Raw genomic sequence first — 22,085 nt, 5'->3', positions numbered from 1 at the left:
TCCATTTGACTGGGCCACAGGGTGCCCAGATATGGGGTCACACATTATTCTAGGCGTGTCTGTGAGTGCATTTCCAGATGACACTAAGACTTGAATAGATGGACTGAGGAAAGCAGATTGGCCTCTGCAATGTGGCTGGCCTCGTCTGATCAGGTGAAGGCCTGAACAGAACCAAAGGTGGAGGAAGGGTGAGCCATGCACAGTTGCCCAGCATGGCTGGACACCGCGGCCCCCACCACAGGGACCTGGCCTCCCCCGTGACGGCACCGCCAGCAGCACAGCCCCAAACCCTTCCTGTCTTGGAGAGGCTCCTGGTGTGTCCCCACTGGAGTGGACACCTGTTGGGGTTGGTGTTTGCTTTTCTTCCCTGAGGCTGCACTTTCGGCATTTCTGTCCGTGGCTCCCTGAGTCAGGGCTCACATGGGGCCAGAGGTCAGCCAGGCAAGCCCCAGAAAGGAGAGGGACTCAGCTTGCAGTTGGCATCTGCCCGGAGCTGGGCTTCGGTGAGACTCAGGGCTCAGCCTGGGCTTGAGTCTTGGCTGAGGGACACCACAGAGAGAGGGGTGTGCAGCCCAGGAGGGGCAGCCGGCCAGGCTGCACCAGGCCTAAGGGAGGCTGGGGGGTAGCCAGTCACCCGGAGTGTGCTCCAGGGGCTAATGAGCCCCCCTGCCCCTCGCCAAAGCCACCCCTGCAGGCTCTGGCCGACGTCCTGGTCATGACGGGGCCTGAGACAGCCGCCCTCCATCCACTGAGCTGCGGCCCAACCTGAGGCTCTGAGTGTTTTCTTTCTTTCTCACCATCAGTGCACTCCACCCTGCCCCACCCACCCCTGCCCCCGGCACGCTGCCTGGCACCGAGCAGGCCCCGAGTGTTGTCTGACAAGCTACAGGGGCTCGCCTGTGACCATACTCCCCTGCCAGTCCCTGGGGAGGGGTCTCCTCTCCCAGCCAGCCTGGAGCTAAGCCATGTCTCCCCATGTGGTAGCCATGCACACACACCCATGCATACACATATAAGCATACACCCAGACATGCACACAATGCACATACATGTGCATGCAGTCACACACATAGCCACACGTGCACATGCATACACATGCACACACAAGGTTATAAACAAGTTAGTTTTATTTTACTCCCTTTCCTCTTGAGGCTGGGTCTGAATTAGGGAGGAGGACAGACAGGCCACAGGCAGGAACCCAGAGCCCCATTCCCCCAGCATGGCCAAGCCCCCAGGCCCTGACCACCACCCATTGGGTCCAAGCTGCAAGGCATATCAACATCTTTGCAGAACTTCAAGCCTCCCAGAGGAACGGAAGGCCGGCATCGCAGAAGCTCAAAGAGGGTATGGTCCTGTCCACCCCAGGCTCCCAGCTCCCAGTCTGTCTCAGTTTGGGGCTGGGAAGGGGAGGGCTGAAGAAGGAGCCCCATTTGCTGTTGCAGGGAATGGGGACACGCACCCCCGCACCCCCACCAACTGATGCCCATACCAGGCACCCTGGGCCCTCCATGGGTTGCTGCAGGGAAGCACAAAGGGGAGAGCTGGCATCCCAGAGGACCTATTCCAGCTCAGGACAGGGGTGGAGTCAATGCCCCACTCCCCCTGGGGTTCAGACCACAGCAGAGGGCCCTTTCTGGCTCCTAGGCCTCTCTCCACCCCACCTTGGCCCCAGTGGTGACCAAGCCAGGGCACTCCTCTGCCGCTTTCAGCCCCTTCCCTGAGCAGCCTGGCTGCCCCTCTGGGCAGAGTCTGCCTGAGGCCACCGGCTAAGGAGAAGGCTGAGGAGAAGGGGTCGCAGGTTTCCACCGGAGCCCCCCAACCCTCCTCCTCCCTGGCCCAGCTCGCAAGCCAGCGCCCTCAGATCCACACGGTGGTCTTCCCGTCCCTGCTGCTGGCACTGCCCTTCTCGGAGCCAGCCCTGGGCTTGGCTCCTGGCCGCTCGTGGGTGCCGGGCCGGCCCTGCTCCCCGACAGTGCCCGCAGAGGTAGCACTGCCCGTCCGGGACGCGGGGGCGCCTGCTCTGGGGGGCCCCCGGGAGGCCGCAGGGAGGCCGACGCACGGCGAACTGTCCCGGTCGCGGTCCCCAGCCGCTGCCCCGTCGCGCAGCGCCTGCAGGGCCAGGTTTGCCAGGTTCTGGTCATGCGCCCGAGCGCGCTCGGCCGCCCGCACCACCAGGCTGTAGTCGGGCGGGCAGGCCAAGCCAGCGGCCGCCGCAGGGAAGGCGCAGGGCGGGGGCCGCGGCGCGGGGGCGGGGGCGGAGGCCGGGGGGCCGCGGCGGCCGCGCACCGCGTCCTGCGCGCTGCCCAAGCCCAGGTGGGCCATCTCACAGAGGTTGAGCAGCAGGCACAGGCAGCTGACCACGTACATAACCAGCAGGAAGACCGTCTTTTCAGTAGGGCGCGACACGAAGCAGTCCACCACGTGCGGGCAGGGCTGGCGGCTGCAGGGAAAGAACGGTCGCACCTCGAAGCCGTACAGCAGGTACTGGCCCACCAGGAAGGCCACCTCGAAAGCTGCCCTGGCCACCAGCTGGGCCACGTACACGCGCATCAGGCCCTCCCGCTGGATGCGCCTCCGCCCATCGTGTTGCCCGGTCGGGCCCGGGGTCCCTGCCGCCTTGCCGTCAGCGCCGACCGCCTTAGTGCACGCCTCCTCCGCGCCTGCCTCCTCCGCTTCCTCGCCGGCGCCCTCGGCTGCCCCCGTCTCCTCCTCCTCCTCCTCCTCGCCCAGGCCCAGCATGGGCTCCTCCTCGCCCAGGTCGGCGGGCTCAGGCCAGCCGGCGTGCGGGGGCGGCAGGTGCGCTCGGGGCGCGCGGCGTGGCCCCGGGCGGCGGCGGAGGGCGCGGCGCCGCTCCTGCTCAGACGCACGGGCCAGGCGGTGCACGGCGTAGCCCAGGTACATGACCGAGGGCGTGGAGATGACCACAATCTGGAAGACCCAGAAGCGCACGTGCGACAGGGGCGCGAAGGCGTCATAGCAGACGTTGTCGCAGCCTGGCTGCCGCGTGTTGCAAGTGAACTTGGCCTGCTCGTCCGAGTAGATGGCCTCGCCGCCCACAGCCGTCAGCACGATGCGGAAGACCACCAGCACCGTGAGCCACACCTTGCCCACGAAGGTGGAGTGGTTGTGGATCTCCTCCAGCAGCCGCGTCAGGAAGCTCCAGCTCATGTTGGTCATAGGGGCGGGCGGGCGGGTCCTGTGGGGCGGGGTAGGGGTCAGCCAGGGGCCTGCACTTAGGAGCCCGCGGCGCTCAGAGCCGGGGCTCCAGGCTTGCCTCGCAGCTGGCCCCTCTCTGCTTACACAGTCAATGACGTGGAGCTTACCGCCTTAAACGGAAGTGGAAGCCCCCACCTGATCCGGCCCCTGCTCGTGCAGATGCAGGGCCCCAGCTGGGTGAGTTGCCTTCATGAGGCAGATGGGGACACTGAGGCAAGCACCACTCAAGTGTGTGGGGACTGGTGGTCTCAGTGTCCACTGCACCCATGGCCACCAACCCAGCCCCAGCCGCATCCAGGTTGTTGGGGAGGGTCCCACAGAGTTTCAGCATCCAAAGGGTCTCCCCAGCCTGCCTAGCCACTCAATCCCTCCTGGCCCCTCCAGCTCCCTAGCCCCCAAGCCCCTGCAGCCCCATCAGCCCTCAGTCCTTCACAGCCCCCCGTGCCTGCACCACCATCAGCTCCCAGACCCCAAAGTGCCACCAGTCCACAATCCCCATAGCCCCTCGGCCCCCAGAGGCCCTGCTCTGCCTCCCTCCACACCCTGGACAGGGGCGTCGGGGTCCCTCCACACCCTGGACAGGGGCGTCGGGGTCCCTCCACCTCCACAAAATCCTCCATCCTCCCTCCAGCCCCCGGCTGGTCCCGCTGCCCTTCTCAGGTGCCCAGGGTCCCAGGGCTCCGCCCGCCCAGTCTAGGTTCCTGGTCCTCCATGGTCTCAACCCAGACCATCTCTAGCTGGGGTCAGGATGAAGCCAGTCGTCCGTCCAGGAGGGACGGTGTCCAGCGAGGTTATAGACCCAGTGATGTGAGGCCACACTCAGCACCTGCGACCCTCAGAGACAGCTATGCCGCAGACCAGCCAAGCCCAAGGTGGGCAAGTGCCCAGGAAAGGGCTGTGCAGCAGGGCCTGTGCTCCAAAGAAGGAGAGCTCCTGCAGCTCCCCTGCCCACCCTCTGCTGGCGGTTGCCCCAGGGCCAGTACCTGCTCCTGGGTCGCTGAGGCAGGAGACCCCTTAGCTCCCTCCGCCTCTGGCCCCCTCCCGGTACCTGGCCTGGGAGGCAGCAGCGGCAGGTGTGGGACCAGCAGCAGTCGCTGGTGAGGCTCCCGGCCTCTTTATGCAGCTGAGGCCTCCCCACCCGGGGCAGGAAGAGGGGGCAGTCAGGGTTCCTGGGGAAGTGGCCCTGCTTCCTCACATCTGTGCAGTACCCCTCAGAGCCACACACATTCACATGTGCACACACACTCAGATACATACCCACAGATTCACATGTGTACACATGCACACACGTGCACATGCATGAACACGCACATGCATATGCAGATACCCATGCACACACATGCATACACATGTACACGTGCATGCTCAGACACACATGCAAACAGGGTTAATGCAAACAGATGTATGTGTACATCCACAGGCATGCTTCTTTGCACTCACATGCAGATGCACATGCATGAAAACAGTGGCACATACACACTTGTGCATATGCACACACATGCACATACGTATGCACAACCACATACACATATATGCACACACATGCACACAGACCCGTGCACACACACACACGTGTGATCAGGCACACACATGCACAGGCGGGCACACTCCAGCCCTGAGGCCACCTCCCCTATCTCCCTGGCTCCAGTAGGCAGGGCCCACCTCCCTCCCCACCTGACCCATCACAGCAGGCTAAGGCCCACTGATTCCAGCCCGACAGGAACCTGAGACAGAGCAGGCTCAAGGGAGAGATGGGGCAGGAGGCCTTCAGTGCCAGGGCCAGCCTGCCCAGCTGTGTGGGGGCAATATTGAACAAATGGCTCTCTGGGGGCAGCCTGCAGTAATGGCGCCTGCCAGTGCCCATGGTGTGAGCATTCCCGTTGTGGCTGACTGCGGAGTGGCTTCCTTGATTCAGCTGAGGAAACGGCGCCATTGGCTCAGCTCTGGAGACCACTGTGGCTCGGCCCTGGGCTGATGTGCCCTGGCGTCTGAGGGCTGGCACTTAGCTCTGGGGGCCTGTGTCACTTGCACCCACATAGTGGTCCTGGGAATGGTCTGGAAGAACCTGGGTCCTGGTCTCAGGGCCACGCCTATGGGGACTCCCAGATCCACACCTCCAGCCTGTAATTCTCTCTTGGGCCTGCTGCCACCCCCAACATGGGCACTCAGATGCCCAGCAAGCACAGCCACTGCCAGAGGGCCACACCCAAATGCCACTCTGCTCTGCAGAGCAGCTTCCCTATCCCAGCCAATCCTGAGCCTGGCCCCGCCTGCAGGGCCTCAAGCACTTCACTCCTTGCCTGCAAGCCTGGGGAGCATTAGGACGCCCACCCAGCAGGACTCCTGCCCTGCCTGTGACTCCTAACCAGAGCGAATGCCGCGGCCTCACCTGCCTTAGTGCCAGGTCCCCTGCCCCCATTCCACGCCTGGCTCCAGATATCCCCTCGTGTGCTCTGCCCACGGCTCCCACACTGGCTGGAGCCCACTCCCACCAGGAGCCTTTGCTACCTGGCCTCGCCACACACACATGCACAGGCGCACACACACAGGTTCAGCCCTTCCCTGAGGCTGTCGCTGTGTCACCGCCTTCCATGCTGCTAGTGACTATTCCATGTGATGACGATCACAGCTGGAGACCACAGGGTGTCTCACAGAGACGTGGGCGGTTTCATAGAAAATACAGCTATGTGGATGCACCTGGGTTCAGACACACACCTTTGCTCTGGCGCCTGCAAAGGCCTCAATGCAAAAACACCCTAGGAGCAAGAATCTACCTGGGGCCCAGGCCTTGGTTCCTACCTCCACTCCCAATCACAGGAATCAGGAACCCCTGGTGGGGAACTGGCAGACCCGAGGGCTGGGGCTGGGAATGTACAGAAGAGCCTGGCGCAAACTGTAGTGTCAGAGAGGAAGTCTGTGCAAGCAGCACCTGCACGTAGAGCACCCAGTGCCTGAGACTGGATCCCTCTGAGCAGTGAAAGAAATCAAGTAGTCTTGTGTTACAGATTACAGACTGACATAGATTAGAAGCCAAAGTACGTGACTGAATGTATAACCAAATGGGGGACAGGAGACAGCTCCTCTGTGCAGAGTCAATCCAAAGCAGCCATGTGGACACTCTGTACTGGAGGGGAGCATGACCCCCATCCCTACCTGTGGGCTGCACCTGGTAACCTGGCTTCAGAGGGTGTGGGAGGGAGAGGGGGAGAGCGCCTCTGCAGCATGCCTCCTACACCAACCCTGGCCAGGCGGCCAAGGTGTCATCACAAGCATCGTGAATGGTGTGGATGCTTCACAGCATCTCATGGGAAGGTCACGTCAACTCCATGGTATTCCTCCCAAAACCCATCCCCCTGAAGACTCATAAGGAAACATGAGGGTGAAAGGGATCCCACCCAAGGGGCATGCTACAGAACATCCGGCCAGTGTTCATCCAGACAGTGAGGACACCCCATACAAGGAGACCCAGGAGGCTGCCGAAACCAAGAGGAGTCCAGGGAGACACGGTGACTGACACCATGTGGGATCCATGGCGGGGCAGAAAAGGAGCTGTAGGGGAGAGGCAAAGACATCTGCATACAGCAAGGACCTCAGTTAATCCCAGCTCATCCATATTGGTCCATTCATTATGAGGAGCATGTCACGCTAATGCAAGACGTCAGCAACGGGGAAACTGGGTGTGAGGTCTATAAGAACTCTGCACTATCCTCACAGCATTTCTGTAAATCTTACTGAGCTCAAGCAATTCTCCCACCTTGGCCTCCTGAGTAGCTGGGACTACAGGCACATGCCACCATGCTGGCAATTTTTATTTTTATTTTTTAAGAAATGGGGTCTTAAGCCGGGCACGGTGGCTCATGCCTGTAATCCCAGCACTTTGTGAGGCTGAGGTGGGTGGGTCATGAGGTCAGGAGTTCAAGACCAGCCTGGCCAATATGGTGAAACCCCATCTCTACTATAAATACAAAAATTAGCCGGGCGTGGTGGCGCGTGCCTGTAGTCCCAGCTACTCAGGAGGCTGAGGCAGGAGAATCGCTTGAACCTGGGAGGCGGAGGTTGCAGTGAGCCGAGATTGCACCACTGTACTTAGCTGGGGCAACAGAGTGAGACGCTGTCTCAAAAAAAAAAAAAAAAAAAAGAAAAGAGAAATGGGGTCTTAATACAAAAATTTGCCAGGCATGGTGGTGCGCTTGTACTTCTAGCTACTCGGGAAGCTGAGGTGGGAGAATCGCTTGAACCCCGGAGGGAAAGATTGCAGTGAGCCGAGATCACACCACTGCACTCAATCCTGGGTGACAGAGCCAGACCCTATTTACTTTTTTTTTTTTTTTTTGATGGGGTCTCGCTCTGTCGCCCAGGCTGGAGTGCAGCCGCACAATCATAACTCACCATCGTCTCCTTGATCTCCTGGCCTCAAGCAATCCTGCCTCAGCCTCCCAAAGAGCTGGGATTACAGGCATGAGCCATCCACACCTTGGCCCTTTTCTGTGAAAGTGCTGTAAAATAAACCCCTACTTAAAGAAAGGACCATGATAGAGAGGCGGGACAAGCTGAGGTGGGCACTGTCTAGTGCTGCAGGATGAGGCTGTCAGCAGGGGCTTGGTGGAGGCCCACGGGAGGAGAGGGGAGGGGTGCTGGCCCCCAGGGAGCCAGGCCCGGGATTTGCAGACTATGTGCACACAAGTCCAAGAGATCTCACCCCAAAGCTACACCTCCAGGGTGCCCAAAATGAGGATTGGTGGGGAGAGGCTTCAGCTTGGCCAAAGAACTGGAGGCACCCTTGGGCTTCAGAGTCTGGGAGGAGGCAGCTGCTGGGGTTAGTAAGGTGTCAGGGCGAGGTAGGGGGGTGACCACAGGAGGCCACCAGCCAGGACGCTGCCTGGCCCAGGTCTGGGAGTGGTGAGGCAGGGTCAGCCTCAGGGAAGGCTGTGGGAAGTAGAGGAGGATGTGGGCATTGGTGGAGGGCCGGGGACTCACAGGGTTCTCATACTGGGGACCAGGGTCTCATGGGGGCTCGCTACTAGGCCAGGGTGTGAAAGGGGGCTTCACAGTGGGGGCGGTCTCGCCCTGGTGGCATCGGGGGCTCACAGGAAGGGCTTCAAAGGGGTGCGCAGCAAGAGCAAAGGGACTCACCATGGGGGCTCACAGTGGGGGCCACCTCTGGGAAGGGTTTCAGGGCAAGCAGGCCCAAGCTGAGGCTGCCTGTCTGCAAACCTGGCTGGGCCAGCTCTGACCAGTGTCCTGGTGTCCTGGTATCTCAGGACACCGGTCAGAGCCGGGCCCCCTCCCCCATCAAGCTCCTGCTCATCCTGGGTCTGAACAAGGGTCCTGAGGCACTGCAGAACGAGCCCCGCCCTGCTGGGTGTAGCACAGGGTCAGGGGCCCAGGTATTTCCTTCCATCTCCAGGCCCTCCCAGGGCAGGCCGCGAAGGGTGGGTGTTTTCTGCAGTTTAGGGCAGCCACCAGACAGGCACCCACGCACACAGTTCACCAGGCGGGACCCTGGGGCAGGCTCCTCCCTTCCCCGAAAATGATGGTACCCCAGCGCATGGCAGGCACTGTGCTGTCGCTTGTCCACTCACAGTCCAAAGCAGATTCCCAGTCCCACTTCCCTGGAGCTCCTGCAGGCACAGTCCCCTCCTTCCCCTGCACTCCACTGCAGGGCCCTGTGTGGGGACAGTCCTCACTCAGAGGGGGCTACAGCACTCACCCATCCTCAGGCCTCAATTTCTCCTCACCCGCTGACAGGCCGTAGCCCCCTACCCTGATGCCCAGAGCTCAGCTCTGTGGTGGCAGCTCCACTACCTGTCCTCCATGTCCCTGCCTGAGCCCCCAGCTGCCTGTCCTGGACAGCCCAGGCCCTGGGACGGTCAGCCCCGAGTGCACCCTCAGCCATGCTCCTCTGGATGCCCTGGTCCAGAGGGAGGTGCAGAGCTCAGCCACCTAGGACCCAAGCCCGAGGCCTGGAACCCTCCCTCCATGCCCACTCTGCCCCAGCAGCTCTGTGGCCGGCCTCACTGTCCTGCCTGTGCAGCAGTAGGCCCCACTGGGTGTGGGCACCAGCCATCCTCATGCATCCTTCACATGTACACACAGGGCACGCTCCTCCCTCCACCCCCCCACACACAAGCAGTGCACACTGCCACATGCACACTGCTGCTCGAGCTCAACATGGAGCTGGGCTCACACACTCACTCTCACACATAGCCATGAACCCTCCCTATTCAGACTCAACCTCACCACGTGCCTCCCTCAGGAGTCCCCACCAGGCCCAGGAAAGCAAGGTGCCCCCACCAAGACCCCAAGTGCCTGCCCACATGGTGGCTCCCCTTACATGGCCTGCCACAGCTCCTGAACTGACCAGACCCCCAGGAGCCCAAGAGCATGGGTGTGGCGCTCAGGAATGTCAGGGGAGTGAGGGGACACTGAGGAGCGTGGTGTGGAGGTATGAGTCTGTGGGATCCCCAGGCCTTGCCAGGGCCGTGCACACGTGCAGGTGGCAAGGCAGCATCCAGGCTGGTGCCTCCTCCCCCGTGGAGCCCTCTCCTCCCTGGGGTTGTTGGCGCTGTGAATGCGTGGGCCCCTCCTGCAGCCTGTTCTTGAGTTCCCTCCCTCAGGGTCCCAAGCAGGAACAGAGCTGTCAGGCCCAGAAGTGAGGGGCTGTTCCTCCTCTGGAGGTGGACCAAGGGGGCGAGTTAGGCCTGGGTCAGGCTGGGAGTGTGTCATCGCTGAAGCCTGGGCAGCTCCCCAGGCCAGCCTCCAGGGCTGTTGCAGGCCTGGAGCTGAGCCACACACCCTCCAGAAACCGAGCCCTGGCGGGTATCCATACTGGGAGTGAGGGGGTGATGATTACCCCAGCCTCCTAAGGCTGTCCCTGCCCTCCACCCGCAGGATCCACGAACCCGTCTCTTCCCTCCTGAACGCCCAGCAGCCAGGAATCCTGGGCTCACTGCCATCCAGCTCTGGGATGGGGGCCCCCGCGCCTGGGCTGTGGCCTCCCTGCGCAGCAGCCCTGGGGTGCTCCGCCCTCCCAGAGGGGTGTGGGCCTCCCCCTCCTCAGCCACGCCGCCCCTTCCTTGCACTGAGGGCCTGCCCCAGCACCCCGGGGGGGCCTCCACCCAGTTAATCACAGCACTGACAGGCACTGGGGTTGGATCCTTGACCACAGGGTCTGCTGGGCTTCAGACCTAGGCTGGGCCCCAGTGCAAACTTAGTGGCTTGTGGCCTTCTATGGAGGGGACTGAGCAGGGCCCCAGGTCTGTCTATACCAGGGGCAGGCTGGCCCCCTCACCTCCAGGTGGCCGCTGAGGGTGGGGGACTGGGCCTGGACACAATGCAGCTGGCTGGTGTTTCAGAGGCCAGCCCTATCACTACCTGAGGGGCCCCAGCTGCTGGGGGAGGTACTGAAGGCACCCCCCTCCCGCTTGCCAGCTGTCCCAGAGCAGACCCCACCGGTTGGTGCCCACCCTGCGGTGAAGGCAGCTGGGCCTGAAGGACACAGACATGGAGTGGGGGGGCCACCCCACCATCTGCGTGGAGCAGCGGAGCCCAGGAGGGGGTGGCAGGCGCAAGGAGTGCACCCTCCTATGGCTGGGCCCTAGGAAGCCCTCCCTCCTTCGGGGCCTCAAGGCCAAGGGGCACAGCGTGAGGCTGTCTCCTGGGGCAACAGCCCCCAGCCCCATGAGGTACATACATGGACCCCAGCACCCTACCTTCTCCAGGCCAGAAAATTCCAGTCTCCCTCAGAGCCCTTCCACCTGCTTGGATGCTGGTCCTCCCCGAGGGTGTGTGGCCGAGCCAGGGCCACCTCTCACCACCAAGCACAATGGGGGCTGGAGGAGGGGCCCTCAAGGGCCCCATTGTTCCCCCCTCGGCCTCAGGGTCTGAATCCCTGATTGTCCTGGGGGGCAGGGCAGCGGGCAGGGCTCTCCAAGCCCAAGCAGGTCAGAGGCCAGCCCCAGCCTCCGAAGCTCAGTCCACCTGCCCTGGAGCAAGCGACCGGGGGCTGCCTGGGCCCTCCCCTCCCCTCCCCTGCCCAGCCGCCCAGTCCAGGCGGCTCTGGCCTGTATCCTCCGGCAGTCTGGGCTCTGGGCGGGGACTCTTCTCCCCGCCCCCATTTCCGGCCGGGCACCCTGCCTGCCTCCTTCTCTCCCACCCATCTGTCTACACCCCACCCCAGAGGCACCTCACCTAGGCTCAGAACAGGGCTGGGGCTGACCCTAGGGGTGGCTGGCAGCACGGCCCTGTGCTGCCTTAGACAGGCAAGCTGGGGGAGCACTGGGGAAGGAGGGAGGCAGCCTGAGCAGAGGAGGCTCCTCACACACCACACACAGCCCCTGGGGCAGCTAGGGGAGGGGCATCTCCCTCAGGGAACCCCTTAGACCTCGAGATCTAGAACCTCCAGCTGCCAGAGCTCAGGGGCCTCTCCTGGAACCTCTGGCCCATGCCAGACCCACAGGGTCGGGCACCAAGAGGCAGCCCTCAGGGCCCACCCCTGCAGCCTCAGGCTGCCCCATGCAGCCGCTTCCTGCTCCCCACTTGCCAGCCTGCCAGGTGGGTTGGGACCAGCCCTGCCACCTTCCCTGCCTGCCAGTCAAGCATCATGCTGCCCTGGGGCAGCAGCCACGAGCCGGCAGGCAGCAGATGCCTAGGCAGAGGCCATCTTGTGGCCCTCCTTGGGGCTGGTGGTTAGGGTGGGCTGCCGGAGCTCAGGGCCCGATCGGGATGATGGGGCCCCACCAACCTTGGGGCCACATTCCACTCATTTATGGAGTTTCTAATCCAACAGTTATTTTATTAGGATGTCAGCCCTGGGTCCAGAGTGAGAGATAGGGACAGGGGACAGCCCAGCGAGGCTGGGTCGGGGGTCACCCCAGGATGTTCCAACCACAGGGGCAGCATCTCCTCCACTCCACATGCTGGCCAAGGGCACAGAGCTGCCGTATCGCCTGCCAAGGGGGTGGCTCAATGCTGCTGCCCTGGTCCTGTATGGGCCCGGGGTGCCGAGAACAGACAGCAAGCCTCAGGCGCCGGTCCTTTGAGCTTTCTTGATTTCCTGCCAGTGAGGAAGAAAGGGAGTTGGGAGGGCTGGTATCCAGGAAGGGCTGGGCTTCCTGCTCTCCCTCCACCGTGGACCTCGGTGTCTCATGCCAGTGCTTGGGTAGGACTGTCCCATCTAACCTCAGTGGCCTCATGGACAACAAAGGCCTGGCCCCCAGGCCTCCCCTTGGGCCTTGCCCAGGTAGGCACAAGGATGGGCCCACCTCAGAGAGCGCCTCCTTCAGCTCTGCGTAGGCCTGGTCCAGGCTGTCGTTAATGATGACCACATCAAACAGGCCGGGCTCCTTGCCTGTGGGTGGGGCCTGGGGTCAGGGCACAGTGAGCCCATGCAGCCCCACCCCAGGTCCCACACGACCCCCAGAGCAGCCCACTGGCCTGCGGCTGTCCTCACTGCGGCTGTGGGACAGCTTTCCAGCCCAGCCGGGCCTGTGCAGGGTAGGGAAGGGCCGCCCCCTGGGCCTCAGTCCTCAGGCACCACTCCTGCTCTCTCTGGAGCCCCAGAACTTGGGTCTGGACACCAGCACCCATCAGGACTCTGGTTAGGGGCTACACTATCCTCTACACACACAGCAGAACATTAAATGCCCTCTTCTTGTGGGCTGCAGTCAGACCCAGAGAAGAGGCAACAGCTGTAAGAGGATGCACATGACACCCCCGGGGCTAGAAGGTTGGGGACATCTCATGGGACCCTGGGCGATGGGGGGTCTGGGGGCCCTCACGGAGACTCTGGGTAACAGAGGGAAATCTGAGGACCCTCAATGAGACCCTTGGTGACTGGGGGTGGGTTCTGGGGACCCTCACGGGGACTCTAGGTGTTGGGAGGTAGTTGAGAGGTCTGAGGACCCTCACAGGGACTCCAGGTGTCAGGAGGTCTGGGGACCCACAGGGTCCCTGGTGCCACAGACCTCAGAACCCTGACTCCCCTCCTGGCATTCCCTGGTGATCCCACGGCACACTCACTGCTCTCCATGTCGGCCTGGGCAGCAGCCAGCCGCTTCACCAGGCTCTCCTCGGTTTCAGTGTTGCGCTGCCGCAGCCGCTGCTCCTAAAAAGGGGGTGGCAATCAGAGCCTGGCATGCCCTGGCCCCCAGCCCCCAACCCTGCCCAGCACACACCAGCACGTGCAGTGAAGGCGGCTGCACAGAGATGTAGATGGGCCGCAGATCGGTGGCCTTGATGTTCCGCACACCCTGCAGGTCCACGTCCAGCACACAGATGCGGTTCATGGCCTGCACGGCCTGCACCGCCACCTTGCTGGGGAGAGGTGCCAGGTCAGCAGGGGTGCCAGGGCTCTCTGAGGCCTACAGGAGCTTCAGGGACACCCAGGCCCTCCCGGGCCCAGCGTTCTCCTCCCACAGCTGAGCCTAGGCCTGGCCTGGACCCAGCACCCGACAGCATCTCAAACCTGCTACCCCCACGCCCTGCCCCGCCTACAGGGAACAGAGGCCACCCACTCCCCAAGGTGCCTGTAGTGAGCATGAGGTGTCCTGTGCACCCTTCACCCTGCCAGGACAATGCACGGTGGCAGGACCGGGCCCAGCAGCCTCATGAAAAGAGCCACTGTGGGCCACAGACGTGGGAGCCTGGCCCTGGGCCACAACCTGGCCACATTCATAACCATGGGGTGGGTGGTGTGGATGGCGGGCAGGCAGCAGGCACTACCTGGATCCCTGTTGCCAACAGCAACCCTGGGAGCCCACCCACACCCACGCATGGCCCACCTCGTGCCATACAGGTTCCCCGAGAACTCGGCATGCTCGATGAAGTCGCCGGCTGCTATGTCACGCTGCATCACCTCCCTGGTTACAAAGTAGTAATCTGGGGAAGAGGAGGGGCCATCCAGAGGGCAGACTGGACCTGCACCAGGGTGCCCAGGGCCAGCTGCCCCCAACCCAGGCATGCCTGCAGGCCCCTCCCACACCCACGACTGCTTTAGTCAGATCCTTGCTGGGCAGGAGACATCTGAGGACCCCTCAAGTGCTGCCAAGTGCCTGAGCCAGACACCATTTCTCACACTGTCCTCACTGATGGAGATACGAGACTGCTGGGTTCCAGTGGGGAGTTGGGAGTTGGTGGTGATGGGGTGGGGACTGGAGACCAACAGGTTCTGGGGGAAGGTGGTGGGGGAACTGGAGACCGTCAGGTTACAGAGGGGACGATGTGGTGGGGTGACTGGAGACCACTGGGTTGCACGGCAAGGGGCGGGGGTGCTGTTGGGAAGGGGGTCCCTTGTCTTGAATCAGGCAGGCAGAGTAGCCCTTTTTACCAGGACTCCAGAAGACAGCTCAAAAGTGCTGATAAGTGCCGAGTCCAGGACAGGGCTGGGGACAGCAGCACTGTGGCCGCCTCCAAGGTGGGAGGAAGACAGCCCCAGGCCTTGGCCGGCCTCTCACACTGTACCCAAGGAAGGCGACACCACGCTGTGGCGCTGACACCCTGATTGAGTTCACCGGCCCTTGGAGGCAAGGACCCATCTCACAGATTAGGGATTGATGGGGGCAGGAGACGGGCAGCACAGCCAACACAGCTGCAGGGCCCAGCAGCCCTGCCCACACTGGGGGTGCTCCAGCCATAGGGCCCCACCCCACTCACCTTTGCCGTTCTCCTCGCCGGGCCTCGGGTTCCTCGTGGTATCTAGCAGAGAGACCTGTCACCCATCGGGGGCTGCTCGGAGCCCAATGCCCCACCCAGCGTTTCCCTTGCAGTCCCGACAGCACTTGAGCCCCAGGATGCAGGCAGCCAGTGAAGCACACCACTGGGAAGGCGCAGGAGCCTACAAGGCGAGGGTTCTCCCAGAAAGAAACACTGTGGCCCAGTTATCAGTACTCAACAGACCCAGGGAAGGGAGACACAGGCACGCAGGACAGCAGGAGTGTGATAACCTCAGGTTCTGTGTGGGGGGGAGTGTGCAAGAGTTCGGACAGTCTGCAGGGTGGGTGTGCCTGTTGGGTTTGGGCTCCTGGCCTGCTCACGGTGCTAGGACTACTCAGCAGCCTTGAGGTCTACGCACCCCTCCACGAGAGCCCTGGACTCACGGGACACGCTGAAGCCAAAGATGCCGCTGTGCTCCTGGAGCAGCCTCTTCAGCAGGGTGCTCTTCCCAGCTCCCGAAGGCCCGCTCAGCACCACAGGCCTGGGGCCCGACATGCCTGGGGGTGAGAAGAGAGGCTGTGGATAGCAGTGCGGCCTCTAGTCCCCATCTGCTGAGCTGCCTCTGCCTTCCTGAATTCATGGCAGGAAAGGGCTGACCCAGGGATGGAGACATTGGCCTGAGAGTCTCCTGAGAGCCTGGGTGTTCTTCCCCCTGAGCTCTGCCACGTTGGAAGGGCCGGCATGCACAGGGCGGCCCTCAGACCAGGCTCTGGGCACACGGGAGACGAATGGAAGGCCGGCTTTACTGGGTTCTCAGCAGGGGAGCCCCCCAACTGAAACCCACTGACCCTGTCAGCCTCCCCAGGGGTCCCTAGCAAGCAATGCTGTCTACTCTGATGACACCCTACCTGGGAGCTGCCGTCCCCACCTGGTGGAGTCACCTCCAAGCCCTCTGGGAGCCTGCTCTGAGACCCCCACCCCACCCAGGAGTCCAGCCATTTGCTCCCATGCATGGTGCTGAGTGCTGGGCTGCTAGGTCTGGAATGGAAGTGTCCCTGTCCCCGCCTCTGTCCTCTGGTACCTTGCCCTGCAGATATGGTCTTGTAAAGATCTACTGAATCTACACCTATTCCAGGAACTTCTCATAGGACTTGGGACTCCTATCTGTGATGCTGGTAATGCCAGAGGGGGTTGGAGGCCTCCCTCCCAGCCCCCAAGGGAAAGGCAAACAGGATCCTAGCTTGGACACGTGGCAGGTGAGGGCCCGGGAGCTGGCCTTTGCCTGGTGGGAATCCTCCCCAAGAACAGGGCCTACCTGTTTGCTGAGGTGCAGCCTCTGTAGTCAGCCTGGGGTGGGTCTGTCTGCTGGACTGAGAGCTGGGGGTGCTGAGTCCCTAATCCCCACTACGCCTGCTTCTGGCCCCACCCTTCTAAGCCACGAATAAATCCCCAGGGGGCCTGGCCCTGGGCCCTTGCAGGGAAGCAGCCCCATCCACCTGCTCTGCGGCTGTGCAGGAAGGAAAAGACAGCTCCAGCTCTTGCCCCAAGACCTGCACCTGCCCTGCCCTCCCAGTCCACATGAGCTGCACACACAGGGCCAGGGCAGCGTCTTCGAGTTGGGATGGGGAGCAGAGCTGAGGAGTGGGGCCGTGCACTGCAGCTGTGTTCAGGGGCTGGGCTAGAGGGAAGCGGATGGACCCCTGGCCACACGCACACCTTGGACACAACTCAGGCGAGGCGTGAATGGCCTCCTCCTGTTTAGGGCACAGCCGCCTGTGGGCAGACGAGCAGACAGTGGGAAGGACCTGAGGATGCCCTCCTAATCCCCAATTTAGGCCACCGAGGTAATCTCACAAATGCACCACGGCTGCAACTCCATCATGCACAGCGACACCCACCACACACATGCCACTCCCAGGCACAAAGGTATGCAGGATGTGTGCACAAACCTACCACAAACACACACACATGCATGCACACACAAACACACACACAAATGCACGCACACCAAGCAAATGCACACACACCACACATGTGTACCTGCAAAGGTACACATGCACACGCATACATGTCATTGATCACAAACACACCGGACCCCCAGTTAAAAAGACTCAAGAGGAAGGGAACTGCAGGACACCCACCCAGAAGTCCATGTGCTCTCCATAAGGGATAGACTCCTCCCTCCTTACTGCCTCTTCTGGGCTTTTTGTCACAAGCACACATCGTTTTCATCTCACCATGCACCCCATGCCCTCCTGGCTCTCCCACCCGCAGAATTTGCCCCTGCGCTTAGCTCGGGCCTCCCCACTAACCTGGCTCCTGCTGCTCACCCAGCCCTGCCACCTCCTCTACGTGCCAGCCAACCATCAGCACGCACTGCAGTGGCCAGGGTTCTTTATCCATTCAGCTTCTCCCAGCCAGCGAGCCCTGCAACCTCCACAGCCTGGTTCCCATAATGCACTAGCTAGGAGCCCCCCAGAGTCTCCCACAATCAATGAGCCATGCCACTTGTGTGAATTTCTGGCCCCTGCTTCTCGCCAGGGTGGAAGGGGTACAGTTCTCAGGACACATCCAGCAATTGCTACACACCTACTTGAAGCACTGAGATCACAGAAATTATGACTTGATGGTATTATGGTGACTTTTCTAATACGAAGGAGAAAAAGTAAAGCTAAATCATGTGCTTCGAAGGACCCGATATGGGAGAGCTACTCAAATGGTCCTGTGGGCTGGACCCCATGTGAGCTTCTGTCCTGTTGCTCCACTGAGCTGGCCCTTCTTAAGGTCACTCTGCCCTGCCAACCCACAACCAGCATGGCACTGGTGGGCCTGACAGGGCTGCCCCAAGGCCGGTCCTGCCCTGTTCCCCCCAGCCCCTGGCTCCAAGCTCTTCGGGTCTGAACCTAGATGCTACGTGACTATAAACCCACACAGAAGGAAACACAGTGGTGACCTCCACTGACCAGGCCTCCCCTCCTCCCTCCTGAGGGAGCGCTAAGCTAGTGAAGTGAAGCTGGGCCCACAGGCAGAAGACACCAGTTCGCCCAGCTGCTGCCAGGCAGGGGTCCAGGCTCCAGCCTTGCCAAGGGCGTCGTCTGCACAGCTGTGCCTACACTCGCCCAGCACAGGGCACAAGGCACACGTGGCACATCAATCGCCAAAAACTCTGGGAGTTTTTGCGTCCTCAGAAGGGGGAGAGCCACACCTTCTGAGGATCCCACCAAACTACCACAAGACCCTGGTCTCCATCCCCTCCTCGGCCCCAAACCCCATCCCCGATGCCCAGGAATTGGGGAGCTCGTGCCTCACTTCCAACTCCCAGGAATGGGGGGTGCTGGAGTCCCACCTCTGGCTCCTGGGTTGGGGATCTCCCCCTTTCCTCGCAAGCAGCAAGTGGCAGGTGTGTCTCTTCACCACAGGGCCCTGACAACGATCAGACACCAACAGATGCAACCCAGCACAGAGCAGACAGCAGACGCTGGTGGGCCCCAACCCCGCCTGTTTCCTCCACAGGTGTTGCCCCTGCACCACCCTTACCCCGCCAAGCCCAGGCTCCCAGGCCTCCCCTCCTCCCTCCTGAGGGAGCAGTAAGCTATTGAGGTGAGGCTGGGCCCGCAGGCAGAAGACACCAGTTCACCCAGCTGCTGCCAGGCAGGGGTCCAGGCTCCAGCCTCGCCAAGGGCGTTGTCTGCGCAGCTGTGCCCACTCTCGCCCAGCACAGGGCACGAGGCACACATGACACACCAATTGCCAAGAACTCTGGACGGGCCAACACTCCGCTCTTCCTGGGTCCCCTGAGTTCGGCTCTGCCCAAGCGTGAGGGCACAATGAGCAGACTACTGGGGGCCCTGGCCAGCCAGAGAGTGCAGAGGGCAGACAGTGAGTGGATGCGGGCCTTGCAGAAGCACAGCCACACCACCACCGCTGGAGACAGGGCGGAGGCACAGGCTGCCTGCCTGCCTGGGGAGAGACCAGTGGCAGGGCGGTCACCAAAGCCACCTTCCATGGAGCACACCCAAGGGAGAAAACTGTGGCCCAGGCCTCAAGGCTCCTGCAATCTTGCGGTGGAAACCACGGAGCCTTTGCCCTGACCAGAACACATGCGCCAAAGGTGTCTTCCTGTGGGCAGAGGGAAGCATTCCAGCAAACATTCTGTGCTCTCCACTCTCACCAACCCACAGTCGCAAACTCCAATCAGCTGCCTGGCAAGAAGCCACACAACCCACAACTGTAAGGACCTGCCAGGCACGTGGTCTCCACAGGAGCTCCGAGATGGAAGGTCTCCTGGGAGCCGCCGGCGCAGATCCATGTTCCGGAATGGTCTCTGCCAGAACGCTCCCTGGACTGGGCTCCCATGCTGCCCCAGCAGCCGCTTTCCTGGAAAGGCACTCCCTGCTGTGGCGGCATAATCTCCTCCTTCTGGCTTCCAGCCATCCTAAGGACTGAACAGAGTCACCACCTTGCCCCCGGCCCACTGTTCGAGGAGATGCTAACAGAGGGCTTGACCTTCTGAGAACCGAGAGAATTCAGCCCCCGCCTGGCCTCTCGTAAGACACAAACCACCAGACGTGGGCCTGGGCTCTGGGCTGGGCCAGGTGGATGAAGGGGAGGCTGGTGGTCCAGGCGGCTGCTCTTGGCTGCAGGGTTTCTGGGCACACATCCGGGTAGCACGCATCCTGGCCTTCAGCAACCTCGTTTTAAATGGGACCACACCAGGAGCAGCCAGGGCGCTTTCATTTTCACTTTCTTTCCCCGGGGGGGACAGGAACATTCCTTTACCTCCTGAGGAAATCGGGCTCTTCCAGAGCCACAGAGGAGTGAAGGCCCCAGCCCTTCACGATGCTGCGCGGCTATGTTTGGGTCTGTCCATCAGGGAGAAAGAAAAACCGGCCGAGTCTTGCACAGGGTCCTCGACAGCAACCCCAGGTAAAGAGCAGAGCAAGCCTGAGACAGGAAGGGGCCATGAGCCCAAAGACAGCAGAGCAGGACCCAGCCCGGGGCCTCAGGACCGACCTCTTTCATGCAAAGACGAAACCGAGGCCCACCACACGCAGGGTCAAAATCAACTTTGAGGCACCTGCTTCCCACACCAGTCCTTACTGGGGCATACTTCTAAGGCGACGCTCAAGAATGGCAGCAGGGCAGCTTCAAGAACCCCAACCCGGACTCTGGCTTTGGAGAATCCGAACCCCAAATGCCACACCCATGCGTCGGGAAGGCCTGCTGTTTCCCCAAGTCCCCGTCTCTGCGCCGTGCCGCGGAGTAGGCAGAATCCTGGGAGCCCCGGAATAGCCGGCTCCATCCGCCCAGGACCCCAAGGCTTGCAGGGTGAGGTGGGAACCGGAGCGCACACCGCGCCGGGCCAGCGGTAGGGACTCCCAGCTGCTCTCTTTGGCGGCGCGCCCAGGTGTCGGGAAGACACCGAGCGCTCCTATACGCCCGGGGAGCAGCTCGACACTGCGATAACTGCCGGCCTGCCCAGCTCCTGAGGAGCGCCCCGCCCTCCGGGACCCGGGCTCCGCTGCGTTGCCAGCCCGTCCGCCCTCCAGAGCTCCCCCGTTCTCAGGGCCCACAGTTGAATGCGGCACAGGGCGTCTCGGCTAGGAGGAGATCCGGAGGCGGCGTGGACTGGGCGACCGCAAAGCGCAGGGACCGCTGCCGCCTCGACCCGAGTCACCCTCGCGATCGCGCTTGTCGTACTCACCGTCCGGTGGGGCCCGGCCCAGGGCGGCCGCAGCCAGCCCGGCCAGCGGGCGCCGCAGCATCCGGGGCCACCTCTTCCGCCCACTGAACCTACGTGACAGCGCCGCACCGGCCCACCTCCGCCCGCGCGCGAGACTGACGTCATGAGGCGACTGCCCCGCCCATGTCTCACTCGTTCTTCCCCGCCCCTTAGGGAAGTACTTACCTCAGTGCCTCGCTAGCCCCGCCTCCACCTGCGCTGGCCTGTCGCGACCGCAGGGGCGTTCAGCACAGCGCCCTCCCAGCCCGTCTTCTCCCGCTGCGTCACAGCGCCACGCCGGCCCGCCTCCACACAGCGCGAACTAACATCACGACCCGCCGGCCCCGCCCACGGCGTACTTGTCCCGCTTGTCACTCAGAGAAGTACCTCAGTGCAGCGCGGGCCCGGCTTTCATCTGCTACGTCACAGCGCTGCCTCAGCCCGCCTCCTCCCGCTTATGTCACAGCGCCGTTTCCGTCCTCCATCTACACTGCAGGGACCTAACTAACGAACGACTCCGCTAGCCCGTTCCAAACCGGCCACTCTCCAAAAACCATTAATTGGGGAATGTGGCCGGGCGCGTGGTTCACGTCTGTGATCCCAGCTCTTTGGGAGTCCGAGCCGGGAGGACCGCTTGAGGCCAGGAATTGGAGACCAGCCTGGGGATCATAGGGAAACCCCTTCTGTACCAAAAAATTTAAAAACTTTTTTGTGCCTGTAGTCCTTGCTACTCGGGAGGCTGACGTGGGACGGTCGCTTGAGCCTGGGCAGTCGAGGCTGCAGTGAGCGGTGTTCGTGTCACTGCACTCCAGTCTGTGTGACAGAGCGAGACCCTATTTCTTTCTTTTTTTATTTTTTGAGACGGAGTTTCGCTCTTGTCACCCAGGCTGGAGTTCAGTGACGCCATCTCTGCTCACTGCAACCTGGGCCTCCTAGGTTCAAGCGATTCTCCTGCCTCAGCCTCCCGAGTAGCTGGGATTACAGGCGCCCGCCACCACGCCCAGCTAATTTTTGTATTTTTAGTAGAGACAGGGTTTCACCATGTTGGCCAGGCTGGTCTTGAACTCCTAACCTCAGGTAATCCACCAACCTTGGCCTCCCAAAGTGCTGGGATTACAGGCGTGAGCCACTGCACCTGGCCACGGGACTCTATTTCTAAAAATTATTTTAAATTTTTAAAAAAGATTTATTGAAGGCTGGGTGCAGTGGCTCACACCTGTAATGCCAGCACTTTGGGAGTCCGAGGCAGGCAGATCACCTGAGGCCAGGAGTTTGGGACTAGCCTGGCCAAAATGGTGAAACTCTGTCTCTACTAAAAATACAAAATCAGCTGGGTGTGGTCGTGGGCCCCTGTAATTCCAGCTACTGGGGTGGCTGAGGCAGGAGGATCACTTGAACCTGGGAGGTGGAGGTTGCAGTGAGCCGAGATCAAGCCACGGCACTCCAGCCTAGACGACAGAATGAGACTCCGTCTCAAAAAAAAAAAAAAAAAGTA

The 22,085-nt window shown here is 61.8% G+C and overlaps 2 protein-coding genes across 15 annotated transcripts, besides 6 other annotated features; both read right to left on the bottom strand.

Moving 5' to 3' along the window:
* GJC2 (gap junction protein gamma 2) lies at window positions 1,110-11,006 on the bottom strand. Its single transcript, NM_020435.4, has 2 exons — window positions 10,929-11,006; window positions 1,110-3,196 (listed from the first exon to the last, which is right to left on the bottom strand). Exon 2 carries the CDS (start codon window positions 3,175-3,177, stop codon window positions 1,858-1,860), a length of 1,320 nt encoding a protein of 439 aa, NP_065168.2. The 5' UTR covers window positions 3,178-3,196; window positions 10,929-11,006; the 3' UTR covers window positions 1,110-1,857.
* GUK1 (guanylate kinase 1) lies at window positions 11,981-20,852 on the bottom strand. 14 transcript variants are annotated; one of them, XM_005273104.6, is made up of 10 exons: window positions 20,573-20,657; window positions 19,648-19,812; window positions 19,107-19,310; window positions 15,312-15,425; window positions 14,869-14,910; window positions 13,998-14,094; window positions 13,392-13,530; window positions 13,237-13,321; window positions 12,480-12,565; window positions 11,981-12,271 (listed from the first exon to the last, which is right to left on the bottom strand). In XM_005273104.6, exons 3-10 carry the CDS (start codon window positions 19,300-19,302, stop codon window positions 12,239-12,241), a joined length of 792 nt encoding a protein of 263 aa, XP_005273161.1. In that variant the 5' UTR covers window positions 19,303-19,310; window positions 19,648-19,812; window positions 20,573-20,657; the 3' UTR covers window positions 11,981-12,238. The 14 variants fall into 14 exon arrangements, with proteins under 14 accessions (XP_005273161.1, XP_047274644.1, XP_047274652.1 ...); XM_047418688.1 differs by having other exon boundaries at window positions 19,648-20,657; XM_047418696.1 differs by having other exon boundaries at window positions 13,998-14,075; window positions 19,107-19,812.
* Window positions 15,998-16,522: an enhancer, noted in NCBI's record as "H3K4me1 hESC enhancer chr1:228332115-228332639 (GRCh37/hg19 assembly coordinates)". NCBI's record gives its function as "activates a minimal SCP1, AML or CMV promoter by ChIP-STARR-seq in naive H9 embryonic stem cells {active_cell/tissue: H9 hESC(naive)}" and the evidence as "EXISTENCE:reporter gene assay evidence [ECO:0000049][PMID:30033119]".
* Window positions 16,306-16,486: a silencer, noted in NCBI's record as "fragment chr1:228332151-228332331 (GRCh37/hg19 assembly coordinates)". NCBI's record gives its function as "represses an EF-1alpha promoter that drives an FKBP-Casp9 reporter gene in an ReSE screen in HepG2 liver carcinoma cells {active_cell/tissue: HepG2}" and the evidence as "EXISTENCE:reporter gene assay evidence [ECO:0000049][PMID:32094911]".
* Window positions 16,523-17,049: an enhancer, noted in NCBI's record as "H3K4me1 hESC enhancer chr1:228331588-228332114 (GRCh37/hg19 assembly coordinates)". NCBI's record gives its function as "activates a minimal SCP1, AML or CMV promoter by ChIP-STARR-seq in naive H9 embryonic stem cells {active_cell/tissue: H9 hESC(naive)}" and the evidence as "EXISTENCE:reporter gene assay evidence [ECO:0000049][PMID:30033119]".
* Window positions 20,071-20,630: a silencer, noted in NCBI's record as "silent region_1914". NCBI's record gives its function as "represses an Ori minimal core promoter by ATAC-STARR-seq in GM12878 lymphoblastoid cells {active_cell/tissue: GM12878}" and the evidence as "EXISTENCE:reporter gene assay evidence [ECO:0000049][PMID:35858748]".
* Window positions 20,641-20,870: an enhancer, noted in NCBI's record as "active region_2692". NCBI's record gives its function as "activates an Ori minimal core promoter by ATAC-STARR-seq in GM12878 lymphoblastoid cells {active_cell/tissue: GM12878}" and the evidence as "EXISTENCE:reporter gene assay evidence [ECO:0000049][PMID:35858748]".
* Window positions 20,981-21,030: an enhancer, noted in NCBI's record as "active region_2691". NCBI's record gives its function as "activates an Ori minimal core promoter by ATAC-STARR-seq in GM12878 lymphoblastoid cells {active_cell/tissue: GM12878}" and the evidence as "EXISTENCE:reporter gene assay evidence [ECO:0000049][PMID:35858748]".

This window comes from Homo sapiens, chromosome 1, assembly GCF_000001405.40.
Source record: "Homo sapiens chromosome 1, GRCh38.p14 Primary Assembly".
Classification (NCBI taxonomy): domain Eukaryota; kingdom Metazoa; phylum Chordata; class Mammalia; order Primates; family Hominidae; genus Homo; species Homo sapiens.
Note: the sequence above shows the minus strand (reverse complement) of the source record. Positions and strands in the feature narration are given on the sequence as shown.